General features: G+C 33.7%; 1 protein-coding gene across 34 annotated transcripts in view; it reads right to left on the reverse strand.

Moving 5' to 3' along the window:
- The window catches only part of KIAA0825, a 467,754-nt gene that overhangs the window by 353,817 nt on the left and 90,128 nt on the right, over window positions 1–23,809 (reverse strand). For 16 of the 34 annotated variants that reach the window (XR_948246.3, NR_169751.1, NM_001145678.3 and 13 more), the window contains 2 exons: window positions 19,263–19,431; window positions 15,581–16,250 (listed from right to left, as the gene is read on the reverse strand). Coding sequence is in view for 29 of the 34 variants with exons in the window: in NM_001145678.3 (NP_001139150.1) it covers window positions 15,581–16,250; window positions 19,263–19,431 (839 nt within the window). In the remaining 5 variants the exon portion in view is untranslated. Of the gene's footprint in view, window positions 1–14,547; window positions 16,251–19,262; window positions 19,432–20,807; window positions 20,920–23,809 lie in introns of those variants that run through there. The other 18 variants (NR_169753.1, NM_001385723.1, NM_173665.3 and 15 more) reach the window with 4 other exon arrangements.

Here is a 23,809-nt window from a genome sequence, read left to right on the forward strand (position 1 = left end):
CTGCCTGATTAGAATTCTCTTGTATTTATTATAAATCAAAGTTAACATTTAGAATTACGCCCGTGTGATTTTTCTTTTCTTTTTTTTTTTTTTTTTTTGAGATGGAGTCTTGTTTTGTCACCCAGGCTAGAGCGCAGTGGCGTAATCTCGGCTTACTGCAACCTCTGCTTCCCAGGTTCAAGCAATTCTCCTGCCTCAGCCTCCCAAGTAGCTGGGATTACAGGTGCATGCCACCATACCTGGCTAATTTTTGTATTTTTAGTAAAGATGGGGTTTCCCTATGTTGGCCAGGATGGTCTCGAACTCCTGACCTTGTGATCCACCCTCCTCGGCCTCCCAAAGTACTGGGATTACAGGCATGAGCCACCGTGCCCAGTTCACCCATGTGATATTTTAAAAAGTTAATCTCAGGCCAGGCACGGAGGCTCACACCTGTAATCCCAGCACTTTGGGAGGCTGAAGTGGGTGGATCACTTGAGGTCAGGAGTTCAGACCAGCCTAGCGAACACAGTGAAACCCTATCTCTACTACAAATACAATAAAATTAGCCAGGCTTGGTGGTGTGTGCCTGTAGTCCTAGCTACTGGGGAGGCTGAGGCATGAGAATTGTTTGAACCCAGAAGGCAGAGGTTGCAGTGAGCAGAGATGACACCATTGCACTCCAGCCTGGGTGGCAGAGCGAGACTCTGTCTTTAAAAAAAAAAAAAAAAAGTTAATCTCATAAGTCTTCATCCCCTTTTTTTCATGGGGATATTAACCTAAAATATCTGAAAGGCCAATTTTCAAGATTAAATCAAAGTTATGGCATAACTAAGAGCATAAAATATGTCAGCCCCCCTACACCACCAATAAAGATTAGATGATTCAAATGGTGAAAACACAGAAAACTAAGCAACACTCATTTGATGACTATGAAAGCTAATTACATTCAGATTCTTTTACAATTTGTATAAAGATGTCTGTCTTTTTTTCAAAGATTTGTCTTAAATAAAAAACAAGGAAATAAAACTAACTGAATAGAGATTTCAAGTTCTTAAAGAAAAAGGTCAAATTAATGATAAAGATACTACATGTAAATAATAATTGCATGGGATAAATCCTAAAATAATTTACCAGAAAATTCTAATTTTTTTACAAGATTTCAAAACAGACACTGCTATAATGTTGAGTCATTCGATCTCATGACATTTAATATTACTTTTTGGAGGTTCTGTCCTCTTAGCACAGCTGGCAGCATGTCAGTCTCATAAACTGAAAGTCCTGAGTTAATATTACTTCCTTGGGTTTGAAAAATACGTTTAGCTATCAGCAATCAATCTATTGACTATTGTCCCCAGGTAGCATTTGCTACCAGTGGGAAAATACTCCTTATATTTTAACTACTATTGCACACTTCATAATTGCTAATTAGTACTTAATTTTCCCTTTGCTCAGTGAATAATGATTATTGCTTTCACCTAATACAACAAAGGGCTACCTTTCACAATCAATTTTTTAAAATTAGCCAATGATCAATAGGTACTACCCATCCCGCATGAATGCCTTACATAGTCTATCAGGATATACTGTGTTAACCACTACAATTTTTCAAGCACTGTTGGAGGTAGTTAACTTTAATGCTAACATAAATACAGGTTAGCTACTTTGATTATTTTAAGAACTATAAAACTTTGAACACTTTGACCTATGGTAAGAAAATTTCCATCATTGAACAGTTTTAAACTTGCATACTAAATGATTAGGATGTGATTTAGAATATGTAACAGGAGATGACAAAAGTGAGATATTAATTCCTATTGAAGAGGCAAAGCACAAACTATGGAAGTGAATATGGAAGTTTTTCACTTTTACATTATTTAAATTTGTAGAGAGTCTGGTAATGTGTGATCATTTTTCCCTCAATAAAGGAAGTGATTACAAAAGGTGAAAGTTGGCTTCTAAATTTTGTCCATGGTTTTCAATGGCAGGTTCTGATCTGGAGACAAAACTATTAAATATACTTTTTAAAAATATATATTTACAAATGGGGGCATATAATTGTTTTAAATGTTATTTCATTTTTACTGAATCATGTAAATGTCATAATGGAATGGATTAATAAAGTAGGTTCTCTATCTTTGGATAGAATATACTTATAAAAGGCAGTTCTGGTCTAGTTTCTAAGCCTGAAAACACGCCACACTTCATTGGAATAAACCAGTTTCAGTACAAATTTATGAAATATGGATTGTAATTCTTATGATGATGATGAAAGCACCAAAATCTAGACACTTGAGGTGATAACAGTGAATTTATATGTGCATAGAACTCGTAATTGCATTATATTATCATATAGTAACTAGTATCATACACAACAAAATACCAAAAAAATAAGTGTTATGTATAGTCAAGAAAATGAAGCCAAAGTATCCTCTAGTCTCAATAGGAGTAAGAAAGATATTATCCAAATTCTCAAATTCTTATTTCTAATTAAATATATTTTATTAAAAACTGACAGAATGGCTGAGCGCGGTGGCTCACGCCTGTAATCCCAGCACTTTGGAAGGCCAAGGCAAGCAGATCATGAGGTCAGGAGACCGAGACCATCTTGGTCAACATAGTGAAATCCCATCACTGCTAAAATACAAAAAATTAGCAAGGCTTAGTGGTGCACACCTGTAGTCCCAGCTACTCAGGAGGCTGAGGCCAGGAGAATGAATCCCTTGAATCCAGGAGGCGGAGGCTGCAGTAAGCTGAGATTGCACCACTGCACTCCAGCCTGGCGACAGAGCAAGACACCGTCCCCCCGCCCCCCCCAAAAAAACCTGACAGGCTATCAAAAATGTCTTGGCCAAGATAAGTTAAAGAGGTGAATTAGCAAAATGATGGTTAAGAAAATTGAAAAATTCACACCACTTTGACATATAAAATAAAGAAAGACAAAAGAATGCAAATCTTGACTCAGTGACCCAGTCAAATAATTCTCAAATTTTATTTGTGGTTTATGGTAATCCAATGAAAAGTTCAAAGAAATCATACTTCTGAGAAAAAAAAAAAAGGAAAAGCCTAAGATCTAATGCTCACTATATAAGGAAAAGCAGAAGAAAACAAAGTTCTGAACACAGAATTACGGTTAGGTTAAATCAGATATGAAGTAGTTTAACAAAGTAAAAACAAGGCAACTTAGCAATTGTATATGTGGAAATTTTGAAGTAAATTTCCAAAGTAGAACATGAAGAGATGCATCCATAAATCCCACTAGCAATAATGTGCTCCTCTGATCTTAGTGATATTCACTTTTAAGTGATGCCAATAACTATTGTAATAATGCTGTATTTATGACAGCATTCATCTAGTCAGTCTGTCTTGAAGACGGTGAACTTAAAAGTAGTGTTATTTTTTCTTTTCCATTTACTAATGATATCCTTAGTTTTATAGGCACCAGTCACAGATCAATCCTTTTTTATGTCTCACTGTGGTATGCAATTTTTTTTTTTTTGCTAACTGTATGTTTAAAATAATTAGTACTGCTGGATATAATCACTAATTTCCTAAAACTGCAAAAGGCAACTTAATATTTCAGCATAGCAGCTGTAATACACAATATTGCACAAAACTAAATTATTACAAATGGTGCCAGGAGTTTTCTATACACAGTATGTAAGATAATTATAAAAAATCATCTTCATTACTGCTTGCTAGCATTTTTTTAACAGTTTAATTTGGATAGGTTACAAAATACATTCAAATCACACAGATATAATTACTGTACACCCAAGAAGCTATAAAATGTTCCCAACCAAATCCCTTTGACCCTGTTAATGTCTATTCCTTGTTAATCTAAGGCAAACATTGTTTGTAGTGTGCATTTGTTTTAGAATATGAAAAAAAAGGGGGGGGAAGTAAGGAAATCCCTTAACAGTTGTTATTGATTCCAGCATTTACCGGCTGAGAGTTAAGTGCTGTTTACAAAACAGAACAGATGCAGATGCTGACAAAAAGGTAAACAATTGTTGCATGGCTTCCTGCCAGATTCTGAACCGATATATTAAACTCCAAGTGAAGCACATTTCCCCTATGGATTGCACTTATTGCCACTTCATTTCCTATGTGCTCTGTCTCTCTATTGCCGAGCCTGGCACTAAGCTATTTCCAGTTCCTTGCTGACCCCTGAGGCCTGGTGCTACCACACACAGCCATTAGAGAAGGGAATTGCATGTGTCTGACACGGTCTGAAACCAATTATTTGATATTTTCTTCAGAATGATGCCCAACTCTGTTGGGAATGAGCAATCATGAAATAATTTACCTCCTGATTTAATTTTTTCCTGCACAAATTAGTTGTACACAGAGCTGGCTATACACAGCTGCCTGTGACATAGCTCTGTCTTATCAAGATGATACTTGAAATGAAGCAGGGGGGTCTGACTTGAATAGGTCAGGGAATACTGCTTCAAAGAGGCATTGACAAGTTTATCAGATATACTGATCACATGTACTCTCTGTTGATTGAAAATGACAGAACCTTAAAGAACTATCAGGGCAGCAGAGAAAACCACAAGGATGCAAACCTCATCAGGGTGTTTAATGTTTTTAAACAACTGTCTGATTTCTGGTTCCCTTTTTGTGTCCTAACAACCTGGCACATGAATAAAATTTAATAAAATATTAAAAACAAACTCACATTGGTTCATGGCTGAGTGACCTTCACTAAATTTCCTATTTAGTAGCCCTGTTGTTAGTTATGGTCATAAATGTAAAGAAAGTATGTATTTTTCTGTAACTCAAATCCCTACAAATAGGTTTCATAAAAAATAGAAAGGACTTAGAATTTATATTTTGTTATCTCTGAGTCACAGAAATAAGGCAAAGCCTGAGAGGATCACTTGTCCATAAACATAGAAAGCTTCCAAAACTTGCATATATTTAATCAAATAGTGATATTAAGACTAACTGCTTGAACTCAATAAAGACAACATATGTCTCTTTGGAGAAAGTAACTGGAGGTAAAGCTTCAACCAAATCTGTGCAGTAATAGCTTGTCCATAAGTTCAAGCAAAGATTTGTCACATTTTTACATACTGATTCTACATTACATTTAACTATTAAATCTTAAAGAGGCTGTGATTGCTGCATTTTCCTATTTCTCTTCAGGGTCCAGCCTCCACTAACTAGAACCATACATCATAACTGGGAACTTCAGGGCTTTTGTGATCATGACTAAGAAAAACTATAAGAAAAATGCCCATTAAAAGTACATCCTCTTCAGATAGCTGAAGGATTACTGTTTTACTGCACTACAAAAAGAATGTTAACAATGATTATTATAATTCATTTCAGTACGGTTTGGGAAAAAAGGTGTATGAGGGCACTATAAAACAATTTAACAATATAGCTTTCTCTGACAACGATCATCAAAAAATTTGGAGGCAATTTCTCTTCTTTTCAGAATAGATTATTGTCCACTCCAATAATTACACTATGTTGTGCCTTTTGCCAGTGAAAATGCTAACACTAAAATTTTAACTTAATTTCTACCTTGAAGGACAAACAGTATAAAGCCATTTATTCTAGATGAGCTCAGTAAGACCAAGTTATGGAATTCTAAGTATCAAAACTTCATATTACTTAGTCTTTTTTATTTCACTGGCATCATAATTTCAAAAGCCATATTAGAGTCTCATCTCTGACTTGCACTTACCTGCTAACTTGGGTACTTCTTATTGTCCTGTTACAAAAGAGACTAAACTAGAAATAGCGTAATTTATACTTTTCTAAATAATAGACAAGGGCTTCCTGTCTTTCTTCAGTGTTGAAAAGGAGTTGTGAAAGCAAACATTGATAGGTTTTGTTTTTGATTGAGACAACAACATACTTACTTACCCTACATCATTTTAAATAACTTTTTATTCAATACATGTGCAATTTTAGATCTCCATTTAGATAGCCCAACCATCAATGTTATGAGTGTTTTGGTAAGACTAGAAGCAATTTAAAAATGTATGTATAAACAGAGGAATAGAAATACAATTTTAAAAATGATAGAAGCAAAATAATTTCTGACTAGAAATCCATAATAACTTTTAAACATTTTACTCAAAGCTAAGGATTATTTTCTCATTTTCAAGTATGGCATGCAGAGGAATGATTGGTTTAACTCTTAAAGCTGCTAGCAGTTTCTCCTGTATAAATGTCTGTGCAGAGAAATCAGTTCATATTCAGAAAATGTAATTTCAGACAAAGAATTTTAATAGTTCTAAGTGTAAAAGACACAGATTTCCCCTGTTGTGGACTGAATGTTTGTGTCACTCCAAAATTCTTATGTTAAAATCCTAAGCCCCAAGGTGGTGGCATTTGGAGGTAGGGCTTTGGGAGGGATAGGTGATGGGAGCAGAGCCCTCATGAATGGGATTAGTGTCCTTAAAAAAGAGACCACAGAGAACTCCCTTGCCCCTTCTACCACATGAGGACACAGAGAGAAGACTGCCTTTATAAGCCAAAAGGTAAGCCTTCACCAGACTTTAATTCTACCGGTGCCTTGATCTTGAACTTGTCGGCCTCCAGACTGTGAGAAATAAATGTTCGTTGTTATATTCCCTGAACCCCTCCTCACCCCTGACTATGGTATTTTTGTTATAGCAGCCTGAATGGACTAAGACATCCTCTAAGGCAAAAACAAATAGGTGAAGATGGGCCAGGCGTGGTGGCTCACACCTGTAATCCCAGTACTTTGGGAGGCCAAGGAGGGCAGATCACCTGAGGTCAGGAGTTCCAGACCAGCCTGACCAACATGGGGAAACCCCTTCTCTACTAAAAATACAAAATTAGCTGGACGTGGTGGCACATGCCTGTAATCCCAGTTACTAGGGAGGCTGAGGCAGGAGAATTGCTTGAACCCGGGAGGCAGAGGTTGCGGTGAGCTGAGATTGTGCCATTGCACACTCCAGCCCAGGCAACAAGAGCGAGACTCTGTCTCAAAGAAAAAACAAAAACAAAAAACAGTGAAGATGTTAAATAACAATTTTGGGGCAGATTTGTTTTATACAAAATATTTGACTTGGCCGGGCGCAGTGGGTCACGCCTGTAATCCCCACACTTTGGGAGGCCAAGGCAAGTGGATCTCCTGGGGTCAGGAGTTTGAGACCAGCCTGTCCAACATGATGAAACCTTGTCTCTACTAAAACTACAAAAAATTAGCTGGGCATGGTGGCGGGTGCCTGTAATCCCAGCTACTTGGGAGGCTGACGCAGGAGAATTGCTTGAACCCAGGAGGCGGAGGTTGCAGTGAGCTGAGATTGCACCACTGCACTCCAGCCTGGGCAACAAGAGCAAAACTCTGTCTCAAAAAAAAAATAATAATAATAAAATAAAAAATATTTGACTTTATAAATGTGATGCTGATGGTAGAAAATTTTCATACTCATACATACATAATTACAATGAAAAATATTCTATCATAATGTACATCTTCAAAGATGATTTTCACAAGAAAGAATGTTGTGGTATAGGAACAGACATTAAAATTCTCAGTCTTCAGTTAAAAAGAGTACATGTTTAAAGAAATCTTGCTAATGTTTATTTGTTTATTAAACCTTTCTTCTTGAACATTTATGAAAAAAAAGTTGGGTACTAATAACTAGAAGTCACATATCACTTTTTTTAAGAACCTGAGAAACGACATGTTAAATAATATTCAACGTTTATAATAGCCCATTGGAAAAATGACTATATATTAAGCAAAAATTTAGGGATTAATTGCTTATAAACATTTTAATATGAAACAACAGAACTAGGCATTCACATTAATTATTATTTTCATAAATTAAGATATGGGTCCAGGCACAGTGCCTCATGCCTGTAATCTTAGCACTTTGGGAGGCCAAGGCAAGAGGATTGCTTGAGCCCAAGCATTCAAGACCAGCTTGGGCAACATAGCAAGATCCTGTCTTAAAAAAAAAAAAAAAAAAGGCAGAGTGTGGTGGCTCATGCGTAATCCCAGCAATTTGGGAGGCTGAGGTGGGCGGATCATCTGAGGTCAGGAGTTTGAGACCAGCCTGCCAACATGGCTACTAAACCCCATCTCTACTAAAAATACAAAATAATAGCCGGGCATGGTGGCAGGAGCCTGTAGTCCCAGCTACTGGGAGGCTGAGACAGGAGAATCGCTTTTACCTGGGAGGCGAAGGTTGCAGTGAGCTGAGATCGCATCACTGCACTCCAGCCTGAGCGATAGAGCGAGACTCCATCTTATAAATAAATAAATAAATAAATGGAATAATTTAGATAATTTTAAGAGGGTAAAGCAGAAGCTGGCAAAGTTTTAGGAAGTTTAGAGAGTGACTTAGCACTCTGTACGCTGTAGCAACTTACTTTCTACAGAACATAAATTTCTGACAACAATCTCATGTATACTTGTCCACATATTTGTTCAATATTGAATAGTTGCAAGATAAGTTTGTTCACTTTTAGTATAGTTTTATTCTAAACTTCTTTTCAGTGACTTTTTTCAATAATTTTCATTTGGATCTTAAAATGTTACTTATATTTTTAAATAGATAATTTATTTTTCTAAGTCAAAAAATGAGGCTTTTTAAAACCTCAGCATTTTAATCTTTTAAAAAGTTTTTCAGTATCAAAAAATGTTATTAAATGGCTAAGATGGTATATAAATCTTAAACTGACCTATGACCTTTCCTGAAAACCAAAACAGAATCTTATTTTTAACTTTCATCATTAGTGTTTCAATGTCAGAATTAGAGGATATAGCAAGTGAAATATTCTTTGCAACCTTAGGAAGAAGACACCTGTGTTCTAAGAAGGGAGAAGTAGATAACAGTGCAGTTTGGTGTTTGCTAATTCTTCCTATATGGAAGAAAAATGTGCTAAAATTAAATTGCATACATGTTCTCTTTTACCCAATATACTTTCCATTTTTGTGCCCTTCTGTCTTTAGAACAATGATTCAGATGCCTCAGAACATTTAATGGAGAATAATTAGGCCAGAAAATAGAGTCCATGCAGCAGAAAAAAAAGTTTTAGATAAAGATATGTACACATACATATACTACCACACATCTACCCAAGCACATAAAATACACCCTCCCCTTATACCCATAAATATCCAGTCATTTTTCTCATGATTTTTAATTTAATAAATAATTTTCAGAGAAAATTCCTACCTTTAGTAGAAAGAATTGAAAAAAAAAAAAGAACTTCCTTAGAAAAAAATTATAATGTCAGACTTTTTGTTTATCTTAGGTGGAATGGAGGTATAGTGGGAAGATGCTTCTTGTCTAATCTTAATTTTGCAGCTAACTTGATTTGTTAACCAGCCAAAATGCTTTCATTTTTTCACCCACAAAACAAGAACTGGAATTGCTGCATTGTCTAATTTTTGGGTGGTGATATAGCAAAGATAAGTCAAATAAATAAAAAATATAGATGCATCTTGCAACCATAATGCTAGCTAATGCTATTGTTATTAATTAATTAATAGTGAAAAGGATCTCAAACCTGGTAATAATCAGCTCAACTTAGTTACTTTTAGCTTAACTCTGGTAAAAATGGTATATGTAACCAGGTTACTTGCATCTTTAGGAATAAAATGACATTCTTCATTTAGATACTTTTTAAAATATTAAAATTAATGGTAATATTTTTTCTATTCATGTATTAGTATGCAAAGTCTTGGATTTTTTTTCTTTGCAAATCTTTCCAAATAGAAAGAAGTGATGTGGATTTGTACTCTATTACAGTTTCGAAATTCAAGGTTAATTTTATACGTAGGAAAATAAATGTATGCTATGAGTCCAACAGAAAAATTGGGATCTAAAAAAATGAGAATTACTCTTCAAATTATTGAAGGATTCTTGATCTTACAAATGATTTCATTCAGCAAGACACAGTAAGTCACTGTAGTCACCAGGACTTTGGGAGAGCTACTTAACTTGTCCAAACCACAGATTCTGTATCTATAAAATAGGGACAATATCCAACTTTCCAGAGTTGGCTTCAGTATACTTTTTCTTCTTTCGTAATATCATCATTCAAATGGTCAAAACTACTTGAGTAGAAGAGAGAACTGAGTGGCTTTTGATTGGCCTACTTTCTAATAGTGATCTTGTGTCTCCCTAGTCAAGAAGTCTATCTTCTCTTTGGTTTGAGGGCCTTGGTTATCTTGAATGATCTTTTCATTCCTTGAGGGATTCACTTCCCTCATCCCCAGTCTTCCTTAAACAAAAGAACAAGGGACTATGAAAAAAAAGGTGTCTTAGAGGTGATTCAGGTCAACCTTTCATCCACTGCAGATTTTAGGAATCTTTCAAATATTCAAAGGTGTTTATCATATTCTCCTAAGTCTTCCTTTTTCAAGCTAACAATAACCTCAAGAAAAATTAAAGATAGGATATATGGGGGCCATGGAGTTTGTCCTAGAATTTAAATCTCCTATTTCTATCTTTTCATATTAAAATACAGAGGATTTATTTAACCAAAATTTATTATATGTAAATAATCCTTTCTTTTTTGAACACTGAGAAATGTAGCATTTACTTAAATCCAAAGGAAATACAATTTTAAAAGTAAAATTAATTTGATCACATAACTAGTCCAAATATAAATATAGTAAAATGTTACAATATAAGAATGGCACTGGTGCTCCTGAAACGTAGATGATATGTGTACAATTGTATATATGGATCTGACTTTCCAGATAATTCCAAATTAGGTTATAATCAAAATGCTAATTGTAAATTTCTAGCTTTTTGAAAGCTATTTTGACTTTAAAGCCTTATAAGCTAAATGAAAAAAATATTGTAGCATAAACCTTTACGAAATAATAATTTTCCTAATATTAGAGAAACTAGCCAGGTGTGGTGGCTCACTCTTGTAATCCCAGCACTTTGGGAGGCCAAGGCGGGTGGATCACCTGAGGTAAGGAGTTTGAGACCAGCTTGGCCAGAATGGTGAAATCCCGTCTCTACTAAAAATACAAAAAGTAGCTGGGCGTGGTGGCAGGCGCCTGTGATCCCAGCTACTTGGGAGACTGAGGCAAGAGAATCGCTTGAACCCAGGAGGTGGAGGTTGCAGTGAGCCGAGATTGCGCCATTGCACTCCAGCCTGGGCAACAGAGGGAGACTCTGTCTCAAAAAAAAAAAAAAAATTAGAGAAACTATAAGAATACAGATGAACAAAATCGGTTATTCAGAAAGCGTTGCTTTGTAAATCACTCTGAAAACTTTGTAAGAGTATCTGTAAGAATAATATTGTTCTCTTCTATAAAAGATTGTTAAATCAAAAAGATTCTGTAATATTTATGTTAACATTATTTCATCATTTTTTTCAGATAACAAAACATACAAGCATTACACTTCTAAATGTATTGTAATACTAAAGCAGCACATGCTCTCTAAGAAACAAAACATTCAAAACTGAATATAAAGTAGAAAAAAAGTTACCATACAATACCAAGATGTGGATTAAGTCTAATCACAAGCTTATATGTAAATAAAATTGTCTGTCTGGTACCTTATCATAGAAAAATGGCTAGAGAGATTGTCACCATATTTTAAATATATGTACTGGAAAACCTGAATTAGTGGCAGACAGAATGCACTGTGGGGTGCCCAGGTGAATACAATCATCCAAAAGGCCAACTGGTAGAATAACATAGCACAGCATAGCACAAATAGCACAGCATAGCATAGCATAACATAGCATAGAAAAGCATCATAAAAACTACCCCTAGTGAGTGTCTGAGTTAATAACACTAGCAAATCATAACTGAGTTCTGAATCATTATCAATAAAAAAGAAAAGCAAAACACTGAATCAGTGTAGAAGACAGAAATAATGTAACCATTAAAAAAGAAAACGTGGGCCGGGCGCGGTGGCTCACGCCTGTAATCCCAGCACTTTGGGAGGCCGAGGCGGGCGGATCACGAGGTCAGGAGATCGAGACCACGGTGAAACCCCGTCTCTACTAAAAATACAAAAAATTAGCCGGGCGCAGTGGCGGGCGCCTGTAGTCCCAGCTACTCGGGAGGCTGAGGCAGGAGAATGGCGTGAACCCGGAAGTGGAGCTTGCAGTGAGCGGAGATCGCGCCACAGCACTCCCGCCTGGGCGACAGAACGAGACTCCGTCTCAAAAAAAAAAAAAAAAGAAAAGAAAACGTGGCCAGGCACGGTGGCTCACACCTGTAACCCCAGCACTTTGGGAGGCCAAGGCGGGTGGATCACCTGAGGTCAGGAGTTGGAGACCAGCCTGACCAAAATGGCGAAACACCATCTCTACTAAAAATACAAAATTAACCGGGCATGGTAGTGCATGCCTGTAATCCCAGCTACTTAGGAGGCCTGAGGCAGGAGAATCGCTTGAACCCAGGAGGCGGAGGTTGCAGTGAGCCGAGATTGCACCATTGCACTCTAGCCTGGGCAACAAGAGCAAAACTCCAACTCAAAAAAACAAAAAAAGTGAAAGTGGTAAATTATTTTTAATGCTAACTATCATACTGTTTTGCACAGCTTTTGACACAGAGTTTAGTGGCATATCAAGCTAATATACCAAATAATTGCAAACAGAGAAATCTTCTTTTTTTGGCTTACTATCTGTGTGGACTTGGAAAATATTTACCTCTCTGAATCTCAGTATTCTCATATATAAAGTATAAATAATATAAAAGGCTGTTGAGAAGGTTAAGTGAACCCACATATGTAAAGCCTTGTAAAGTCTTATACATATTAATAAGTAATCACATTAGACAGATAGATAGATAGATAGACAGATAGATGATAGATGAATGATGGAAAATTTACAGGTCATTCAGGGAAGAACAACCAATCCTCAACCTAAGTACAAAATCAGAAGCAACTAAAGATTGAATAGGTCCAAACTGCCTTAGCTCATTAAGGTATAAGCATGGAAAGGTAAGACATTAGCTCATTAAGACTACAGTATACATACAAAGCCTGCTTAAAGTCACTAAATAGAAATTATAATCATTTAAATCATATACATTTAAATTAGGATTATTTAAATTTAAATAAATTAAATTTATTTTAAATTATTTAAATTTAAATAAATTAAATTTATTTTAAATTATTTAAATAGTTTGGAGAAGAAGAAAACAATGACCACTAAAGTTGAAGAAGTATACAGAGGATTCAGAGAAATGTTTTTAAATTTAAAAATATCCTATTTTTCAGTCAGTAGATTATAGTAATACAGGAAGGGCTCTGAGTCAGACAGATAAGTTTGAATCCTGGCTTCACTCTATGTCCTAGAGCAAATTACTTAACATCTCTATGTCTTAGTTTCCTCACTGTAAAATGGAGATAATAAATAATGGTATCTACCTTGTTTGGTAGGTTAGAAGGATTAAAAGAGATAATGCACATCAATGTCTGAGCCAATAAATGTTGTTGTTACTTAAGGATTGTCCTTTCTATAATTTCAGGTAAAATAGCAAAGATTTCGTGAGCATAAAGATACAGACATAGATTAAAGATAATATAATACAACCCATTCGAGCCATTGTCGGTCATCTCAAAGATGTATTTCCTTAATAAACAAAACATTATCATTGGGTCAAATATTAGTGAACAACATAGCTTATCTGTTGAGTTAGTTTAGCAGTTCTCATATGGCAGTAGCAGTAGTGACTCATTTAGTTTTCTTCCCCTTACTGTGTCTAGCACAGAACATGGTAGCTGCTAAATGCCTTTCTTATGGTAGGTGGTCAATAAAGCTGAACTGAATTTATCTGCAGACAGCCCACTTGAACAGTGCTGTTTGAAATTTCTTTTATAGGTGACAGATCATTTAATTCTACACTTGTAAGACAAGGCCCAATAGCATGGTGCTTGAGAACATGGGTCCCAGAAATAGAAAGATCTGCATATGACTTCTAAGTATCAATCCTGATTTCATACAACATGATCAGGGCAAGTTAATCTTTCTAAGTTTCTTTCTGTGTTCATGAAATTGGGATAATAGGAATGGGTTGTCATTAGCGCAGTGTTTGGCATATGGACAGTGCTCACTTAATAATTGTTTCATATCAAAGTTCAGATAAAGGAGCTTGGGAAATAATCTATGCACCTACACTTGTGGAAAATGCTTCAAATTCTGGTGTTAAAGAGGACACACATACTTTTCTCTCATGAATGAGAAAACACTTCAATATCAACCCTAAAGACTCCATAGCAACTTACACACATTTTCAACCATATGGATCTTTTCTTCTGTTATAAACTATATTTAGCACATATAAAACTTTCGTATTGAAAAGACTTTACAAGTAAGCAGGATTTTTTTTTCAGAGAATATAAAAATTTTAGAAAATAAGTACACTAATAAAGTGCATTTTAAAATTTATGTGTTAACAATTAAAATAAAAGTCTATTTGCTTTGAGCAAAATAATAATGTTCCTAAATTAACTGACTTTGTATTTTGCCATAACCGAATTTGGCAGATGCATCTCTCTTCTGCAATGAGATATAGCTTCTGGAGGAAAATTAAAATTTTAAGACAAAATATTAAACAATTTGAAAATTCATATATCACATTAATTTGGTCAACTGAAATTTTATTAATGAAGATACGCACAAGTATAGTGAGCTATAGGAATTTTAAAAAGATGATCATAAATTCAAAGATCCATAATTCACCAAATAATAATTTTCAAATACTTAAGCCATATAGTTTATGAACTTATTCAGAAATACACCTCAGATTTTATATAAAAGCATAACTAATGATAATTTTAGAAATAATCCTATTTTTACCCTGATTTTTCTCCACTGGTAGGAAAGTACAACCACAATAAGAAAAGTTTATTATATCACAATAACTTCTTTCCTTTTTTCCTTTATCTTATGAATAAAATAGAAATTTTCAAATCATCTTTTATTTGTATACATCCTTATAGAAAAAATAGTAGAGAAACTTTAAAAATAGCTATAGTAAAATGTTATACCTTCCTAATCAACTACAATACAGAATTTTATAATTATAGTATTTCATAGTTGCTCATTATTAGAATTGACTGACTAAAATATTACAACTTTTAAATATCCAATTTTACTGCAAATTTCAACAAATTTTCAAAAATTCTTTTTACCTAATAATGCTTTAGCTTTGGAAGATACAATGGATTAAAAATCATACTTTTCTGTTATGTATATAACTAAATGTACATATATATAACTGAGTATATGTGCTTATATATATGCGTATATTTAATAAACAGATAAAGGAGCTTATATGTGTATAAGCATATATACTCATTTATATATATGTGTGTATACACACAGTTTCACAAATACTGTTTGTCATATGCAATCAAGAGAAATTAAACTCTTATTTAAAGTATTTTTGGCTTATATTTCCAATATCTTTAACAATTTAATAAGAAAGAAAATACTTTTATAACTACAATTATAGAAAAAAATGCATGAGAAATGTATACTGCAAAATTTCATTACATTCATTTTCTAATTTTCATGTTTGCAGTGAGATTTAACCAAATAGAAAACATCTTAGAAAATTAAACATATTAAAAGACTTAAGTTAAACCAAACAAAAATTTTAAATGTCACTAACCCAAAGCATGCACTGCTCCTCTATGCTTGCTGGAGCTCTTGCTTGTTTTAACCACACGAACAGCATTTTCTCTGAACTGCAGCTCACAAAAATTTTCAAGAAATTTTGCCATTTCTTCTGTAACAGTATCCAGGTAAGTTTCTTTAATGAATTTCACCATTGAAGATGGAGCTAAAATTTCACATAGTGTGTTAAAATCCTCTTTTATTACTGAGTATAACTTAAGCATTGTACTTTGATATCCATGAGCTATTACATCTAAATTTGAATCTCTGTTGTAAGAAGGAAAGCAGTTCCACAGAAGATTAGCCAACAGTTTATTCTGTATGTTTTGGTATTTGATTATAACTTCTGATTCTGGATAAAGAAACAAGAGTTGTTGTAAGCACTGCTTTTTCAATAAAATTTTTTGCTGTGAATTGTTTATTTCATTATGGCTTTGTAATTTGCTCACTAAGAAGCGTCGAAGATGCAGTCTTATATCATCCCACATAGACTTGACATCCATAGAGGAATTATCTTCAACAGAATGAAGAGACGTCCTAGAGAGGAAATGGAAAGATGTTCCACTTAGGGTTGATGGGAATGAAACGCTGCTGTGGCAGGAGAGGTCCCAAAGTAAATCCAATGTCATTTCTTCTTGATTTTGTTCATTCTTCAACAAATCTTGCTAATGAAATTATAACATTAGAAATGTGATTAAGTGCAATAGAAAAAATGATTTCTATAGTCATATACAATTTCATAATAATTTCAGGTTGAAATCAATACTCTAAAATTCCTTAAGATTTTATTTTTTTGCATTTGAAATTTAATCAATTCAGATGTTTTAGAATGTTAGCTTTTATGGTCTACTAAACTTTGAATTGTTCATTTCAAACCTAGCTGATTATCTTTTCAATTAGATTTCTAGACATACAGTTTTTAGCCCTCATTGTTATCTACCCAATATACCCTGAGCTGTATAAAAACTCTGGCTTAAAAATTCTAAATACAAATCTATAGTAAAATATTGATTGAAATGTATTCCTAATACAAAATAGATTCAAGATCATGCCCCTAATTCCTGGTAGACAATTTTCATGCTTGAATGAGTACACTTATTATTATAAAACCCCAAATGAACATATCATACAATACTTTAAAATCATTCTAGAATATAGATCTTTAAATATAGTATGTGCCTGGGGGTTACTAAAATATACCTTTCTGAGAAGTAAATTTTAATACATTTAAAGATTTTAACTTTCATTTAAATTCCTTTTTGAGAACTGTGTTAAGAAAGATTTTACTTTGAAAATTAATCTGAGAATATTTCAATTCTCTCCAAAGAAATAACCCAAAATGAGAAAAAGATACCCTCAGAATTATTCCCCAAAAGATGATATGAAATTATTCCTTTATACTTTCTGTGCTAGCAGAAAACAATGGTGGGTATAATTATGAATAGAAAGGGACAAAAAATTTACTTTTTTCTTGGGCTTTGAATTAGACACACACATTCTGCTTCCATGCTGACTTTCCTAATTATGTCTATTTTAGCTAATACTGAAATTAGTTTATATTCTCTAGGTAGAAACAAGCTGATTACAAGAGAAATGAAAGCAAGGTCCAAGTGGCATAAAATCAGGCTGGCTTTACAATTTCTTATTGATGAAGATACCAAAGGCATTATGTGTGATTCACAATTATGAACAATTCCTAGACAAATTCCAGGAATTTTCTCTCATTCACTGTAAGCACTGCAATGCCTAATGTTCTATCTGTAATAAATAATTATACCCAATAATTATACCAAGAAATGCTTTTTAAGTATTTATACAAACATTTCCTGGTTTATTCATAATGATAACTCTTTGGCATATGTATTTAAAAACCCAATTTACACACAAGGACTCTAAAATCAGGCATGCTTCAGTGACTTTTCAAAAGTCACATACAGTAAGGCACAGAACCAAGAAATGATCCCTGGCTTCTTTCTCTTCATCCACATTCTTTCTGCTACACTCCAGAGAGCCACAAAGTACACATGACCTCTGTGTAGCTTCTTTCTCTCTCCTCTACTGCTATTGAGTTATTTTGATATTTCTGGAAAAGAAATTGTCCTTAGATAGGACACATCAGCATTACTGTAAATTCTATAAAGCAAATGAGTCATACTGGTGCCTCTGCCTTGGTTTTTTTAAGTCCGTAAATAACTGTAAATATTTGATCAAACAAAGAATAATAGATTACAGAGGTTTAGAACATATGTTTAGTATGATTGCTTAAATTTTGAAAATAACTTCAGTACATCTGCCATAATGAGGACCTCTGTTTCTTATTTAAATCACTAGAAAATTAACAAGAAATTTTCTATGAAAAAAACAGATGTATGAAAAATGCCATCAGGACTGACATTTTTTAGCATGTAGAAACTTGATAATAAGGTCATTTAAATCTGGATCTGTTTTAATAATGTGGTTCCTTCCTTAAAATAACATGATCAATTATGTAAAAAAACCTAGGACTGGGACAAGCCTATCAGTCTAATGAATTTGAGCAAAACTAAGGCGGCCTTTGCCCTGCAGTGAATAGAGAATGACTTATGTGTGACAGATTAAAAGATAATTAAAAGCGTTTGCTTTTAATTAAATGAGAAAGCATTATTACATCAGCATTAATGAAATTCAATACACATGCCTCTTAATAGAAATTAAAGGAATAACTATATCCATATTTATTCTTTAAGGATCCACCTTCAGGAGATAATGGGTGAGAGGTTTCCTTAAAAGAATAAGGCTTCAGGGCACACAGTCTTCCTTTCTCTTCCTTTTATTACTTTGTAAAATTAAAGAGACATCTGAAATAATAACAACAGGCAAAAACTATTTTCATCTGATTCTGTCATCCTAAGCCATCTACAACCTCCAGATATTTTCCACATCTGTCTTAGTCAATGTTTGATGTTTAGACAAAAACAGTGCCTTTTTTTCCCTAAATTAAATTAAAACCATAGCTACAGAAGTACTGCTTTCTAACAATTATGCTGCTTCTCTGGGAATCTGTTTTTGCAAGCTAGCTAGCCTTGGAGAAACAAGTGTGATAAAATCACTGTTCTTATTGAAGTTTACAAAAACTTCTCTAGCATAGATGGTGGTCAATATTAAGAATACCCAACATAATAATTCTCTGTCATTTGGTGGTCTTGCATAAATTGCTACCTTGATTGAAAAGAACTGGGTTAGACTGCAGGTTAGGAATGCAGGGAATAATAGTCAAGGCCACTTAATAGACACAATACATGGGGATCTTATTATGCTTTAATAATGAGCATATAAAAAATGAATAGTGAAAGGATACAAAACATAATGAATATGAACTTTTCTGGTAGACAGCTGTGATACACATCAATACATTTTGTGGTATTGATATGATATATATCATACCACAAATCACCCAGGAATCATAATATTGTATCTCCATTTATATAAAATTTTATTTTATTGATAAAAATCATAGTTAAAAATTAAAACAAATAGCTCAGTGGATTATGTTGGGGATATAGGAACATAAAAACACAAACCCCTATGTATGGCAGGCTAATATGGTCACTCAAATAAATATTTACGTATAGAAATTGAATGAGTTGTATTCCCTGTTTACTCATCCCACTCCATGATAAAATAAAAATTCATTTTACCAGTGTTTTGAAAAATTTTATCAAGTCTCCATGAGAAATGAAAGATGATTCAGATGTACTGTAATTATAGTTAGTTAGCCATTCAAAGCAGTCAGTTGTTGTTTGCAGCTGCACACCTGGACATTGTTTGTTAATTTCGGACTGTATCTCTTTAATGCAATGTTTTATGCTATAAAAAACAGAAGAAAAAGTTATTTTGGCAGGATATAGATAATGGCTTCATTTCATAATATCACAGGCCCTGAAATCTTCATATGTGGTACCTGGCTTTGTACAATTTACAAATTCATTCATATGATATGAAAATAATAACAGACTATACATTCATAGTTGAAAGCTGAGAGTTCAAATTTTCTGGCAGTAAAAAATGTGATAGAGGAAATATAAAATAGCTACTCAGATGAACTAGAAATTCTTTTGTGTTGAAACAAAAATCAAGCATAGATGCAATTCGATAATAGCCCTCTTGATAGGCAGTGGATGAAAGGGAGAGATAAAATACTGAACACTGTAAATATTAGAAATATACATTATCTACTAAGAGGTGAAGGACTATATAAATTATGAAAAATTTCAATCAACGGAATAGTAAGAAGTCATGAAGTAGTTATAAAAAGCTTATAATTTTAAAAGTTGTAAAGTATACAAGCTATATACACAATGTTACTACAGCCAAATACCTTTTCCTGCCATCCAACTCCACTACAAAAAACAGAAACAAAAATTACTAAAAATTGCATTTAAAAAACGACTGGAAGGAAATGAAGCAAAGGGTTAATAGCAATTATATTTGGGTGGGTGTAATTAGGTAAGTTTTAAATTTTACTTTTCCATATTTTCTAAATATTTATAAGGCATAAAATAAAATGCTTCATTCACCAAAAAAGTAAACCAAGAACAGTGAAAAAATGTCCAGTAGAATCTTGCCATATGTATCTGTTTTAAAATTTCCATTCAAAGTATCCTTCCTGTTGATAAAATAACAGATACACTATGTTATTTTAATTTCCATACACACTTATGTGCATTGATGATTATAAATCTTTGTGGGGTAAACTGGTGACCTTTAGCAGAGTGCCATCTGCAGAGCCACAGGGATATGACATATTACTACCACCTGATGGCAGCATATCTAAACTTCAAGAAAGCTTTCAAACAGGCAAATTCCTTTGAAGCTGAAACACCTCACCAAAAATTGACAGCTATGCATTTGTCTCTTAATCATATTAAGAAAGATTTGATACTAAGAGGTAAAGTTAGTGTTTTGAAAACGTAACTGCTATTAATTAAAGGTTCCATATGATAGAACCTGGTAGGCTTTAGAAACCAAGCGCTCATTATTAAAATAGATGTCATACGAAAGACTCTTTGAAATTCATCCAGGTGTGGGTTGCCTATAAAACATACACTGTAAAAGTTTAAGTAAAAGTTTTCAGGAGACTTCTGAGCATGAGTGAATTCAAAGTAAATTACCTTGAAACAAATACATTCTGAGAATCAAAGAGCCTTTTCATGAACACAAAGAACTTAAAAGGAAAACAATACCTCCTCTGGCCACAGGCCACTCAATTTCCTGATGGGACAGCCATATTCAGGAATACCACTTCTACGTCTGACAAGAGATTGGCTTGTATTTTCTTAACTTATGTAAGCACTTCTATGGACAGAGAAACACAATGCCCTAAGCATACCCCTTGACTCTAGGGACTCTTTATCAAAGGTTTTTATTATAGCATCCTCATGTGTCTCATTCAATGAAACCTAATAGATTACAGCAATGTGAATTGGAAAGGCTCAGCAGTTAGTCTACCTAAATCTGTTTCAATGAGGACTCAGATTTTAGGCTAATTTCTAACATCCGAATCTGGGCAGAGGCCAAAAACTACAATTTATAAATAGGGTAAAGCCTTTAGAGGGCTAGATATTTTGGTAATTTGTCCAAATACTGACAAAGGGATTGAGTGGTTGCATTTCAGGGGATCTCCCTCATTGATACAAACTAAGACAGATAAACTTTATTTTAAAATCATTTTGTCACAAATTATAAAATGTCAGAACTAATTATCTACACCTGATTTTGTTTTTAGTTGGCTGTCTTGTTGTCTGCCACTCACCAATGCCTATACACCTTGTTCTAAAAACTTAATCATCTGAAGTCTAGATATTTCTTGTCCAATTGTTATACAAAATAAATATTTTCAAAATTTATGATAAATGTCAGTTTGGTATGTAATCTGACAATTTATCTTCTTTAATCAAAATAAATTACAACTTAATTTTCACCATTTAAAAGGTAACATTTTCAAATGTTATCTTTCAGATGCTACACATTATTCAGGATTATAAACATAGGTAGTAAAAGTGTAAGGAAATGCACTGGAATGATCAGCAGCACCCTCTGGCACAGTGGGGATGGAAGTGGGATGAAATTGGGGAGAGGTACACAGAGAGCTTTAGCTATACAAGTAATGTTTTATTTCTTAAACTAGATGGTGGGCACAGGAGTATTTCTCATAGTACTCTATGCCTTTTCATATGTCTCAACATTTCTTAATAAATTTGAACCCCAATGTGCCTTAATTATAATGACTCTGAATTAGCCCAGTTAATGATGTATGCAAGTGGATGCATTACTGAGAGGCTGTGTATAAATCAATTTATAAAGCATTTTTAAAATGCAATATGGAGTATGCTTTTAAAAAAAAGATATCTATGGTAATTTTCTCATTCAACATTCACTCCTAGATTCCCTGACTGTAAAAATTGCTTATTGAATGAAGGCATTATATTTGATAAACATTAGCTGAATGTTAAATATGTGGTAGGCATTGTGATATATACTAGGGAACCCAATGTGAATAAGACGTCATCCTGTCCCTAAAGGAATTCTGTCTAGTGAAAGAGATAAACCTGTAAATAAACAACTACAACACAGTAAGACTTGATAAGGAGTGTGTACAATGTGCTAAGGGAGTACACAGGAGGGAGCCACTAAAAGTGCCTGTGGGAGGTGTAAAAAGGTTTTTCCTTGTAGAAGAGGAGATTATATGCAAGGATGTTGCTTTAAGAACATTAGTAGAATCACGGTACTTAAAATTCCCTGACACCTCACCCCTCAGAATTCAGTACTTGTCATCTAACCTCACTGTTGCCTCACTTTAAAACTATATTTATTTGAAGAATAAGAAATATGAATTTATTTTTATGGTCACTACTACACTCATGCATGTATGGATGTATGTGTGTATGTATATATGCACCAGCTTACTTCCAAAAAGGCTGAGATGTCCTACTATTGGACAGACTGCATTAAATAACAATAGCAGTCCGGGAGCTGATTAATATTGAACTGGTACAGTTGGAGATAGGATAAGAAACTGAAAAACAGAAGAGGATAATTATAAACTCTTGAAACTTCAGCTTATTATAAAGTTCTTATAAGATTTCAAAAGTATTATCCAGTCATAAAATAGTTAAAAGGAAAAAAGTATGTTCCATTGGTAAATTATGAGAACTTTTTAAATAAAAAGATTGTAGAAAACACATATATGTGCTTTCATGGAATGTTAGAATACAAAAAATTTTTATTTCTTAAATCAGGATAGATGCCTCATAGCAGAGCTTAAAGACTTATTTATTACAGTATGGAAAACCCAAAATTTAAAAAAAAATTTTAAAACTTTTACATTTTGATGCTCTTGCTTATACTTCTTTACCCACAAAATAAGTTCAACTTAAGGAAAAGACAAGTCTTTTCAATTGTTACACTGAAATTTCGATTCTGTTACATTTCTGTTCATTTCCGTGCTTTTTGTGTTCGAAAGGACAAAGAAATCATTGTGAGGTAATAGATTTTCTAGTTTTTAGATAAGCCTTATTTATCTAACTAGATTACTAAAATTCCTTGGAATTATCAGGTAATTAATAGGGAAGAGGGCTGATGTATACAAACTAGTATGTAATTAAAATATAAGTCAGCCATGAAATGAAAACTTATTTTCCTGAAACAAAGACATTTCTGGATAATATTTTTTAAAAGAATATTTAAAAAAGAATAGTTAAAAAAAGTAAAAAAAAGAATAGTTAAAAAGTTAAAAAGAATACTCCTAACACAACTACTTCAATGGCTAAAATGGTGAGAAATTAAAACTTGTCCTGAATTGTTTTCTATTTCGGAGACATTTAATCATTTCAAAAAGTTGTAATTACACTTTCAGGAAAAAACACCCTTGACACCAAATCTTTCTCATACGTATCCTTTCCTTTCCATTACTTTTGTAAAAGTTTTGGCATAGGCCCTTATCATTGGTCATCGGGACTATATATTAATAGCCTCTTTCAGGATTCCCATCTATTGTTAACCCACCTTTTGTTCAGAGTTTACTATGAGCAACACAGTATGAAAGAAACTTTAGAGTTAGGGTCCTCTCTTGATTTGTTGTTATATACCACGGATCCCACTACAAAAGTTGAGAATGGCTCTTCAATGGTCCAGATGCTTTACTCTGGCCATTCACACCTAGTGTAGGCCTGTATCAACCTAAGAA

The sequence above is a fragment of the Homo sapiens genome, chromosome 5 (assembly GCF_000001405.40).
Source record: "Homo sapiens chromosome 5, GRCh38.p14 Primary Assembly".
Lineage (NCBI taxonomy): Eukaryota > Metazoa > Chordata > Mammalia > Primates > Hominidae > Homo > Homo sapiens.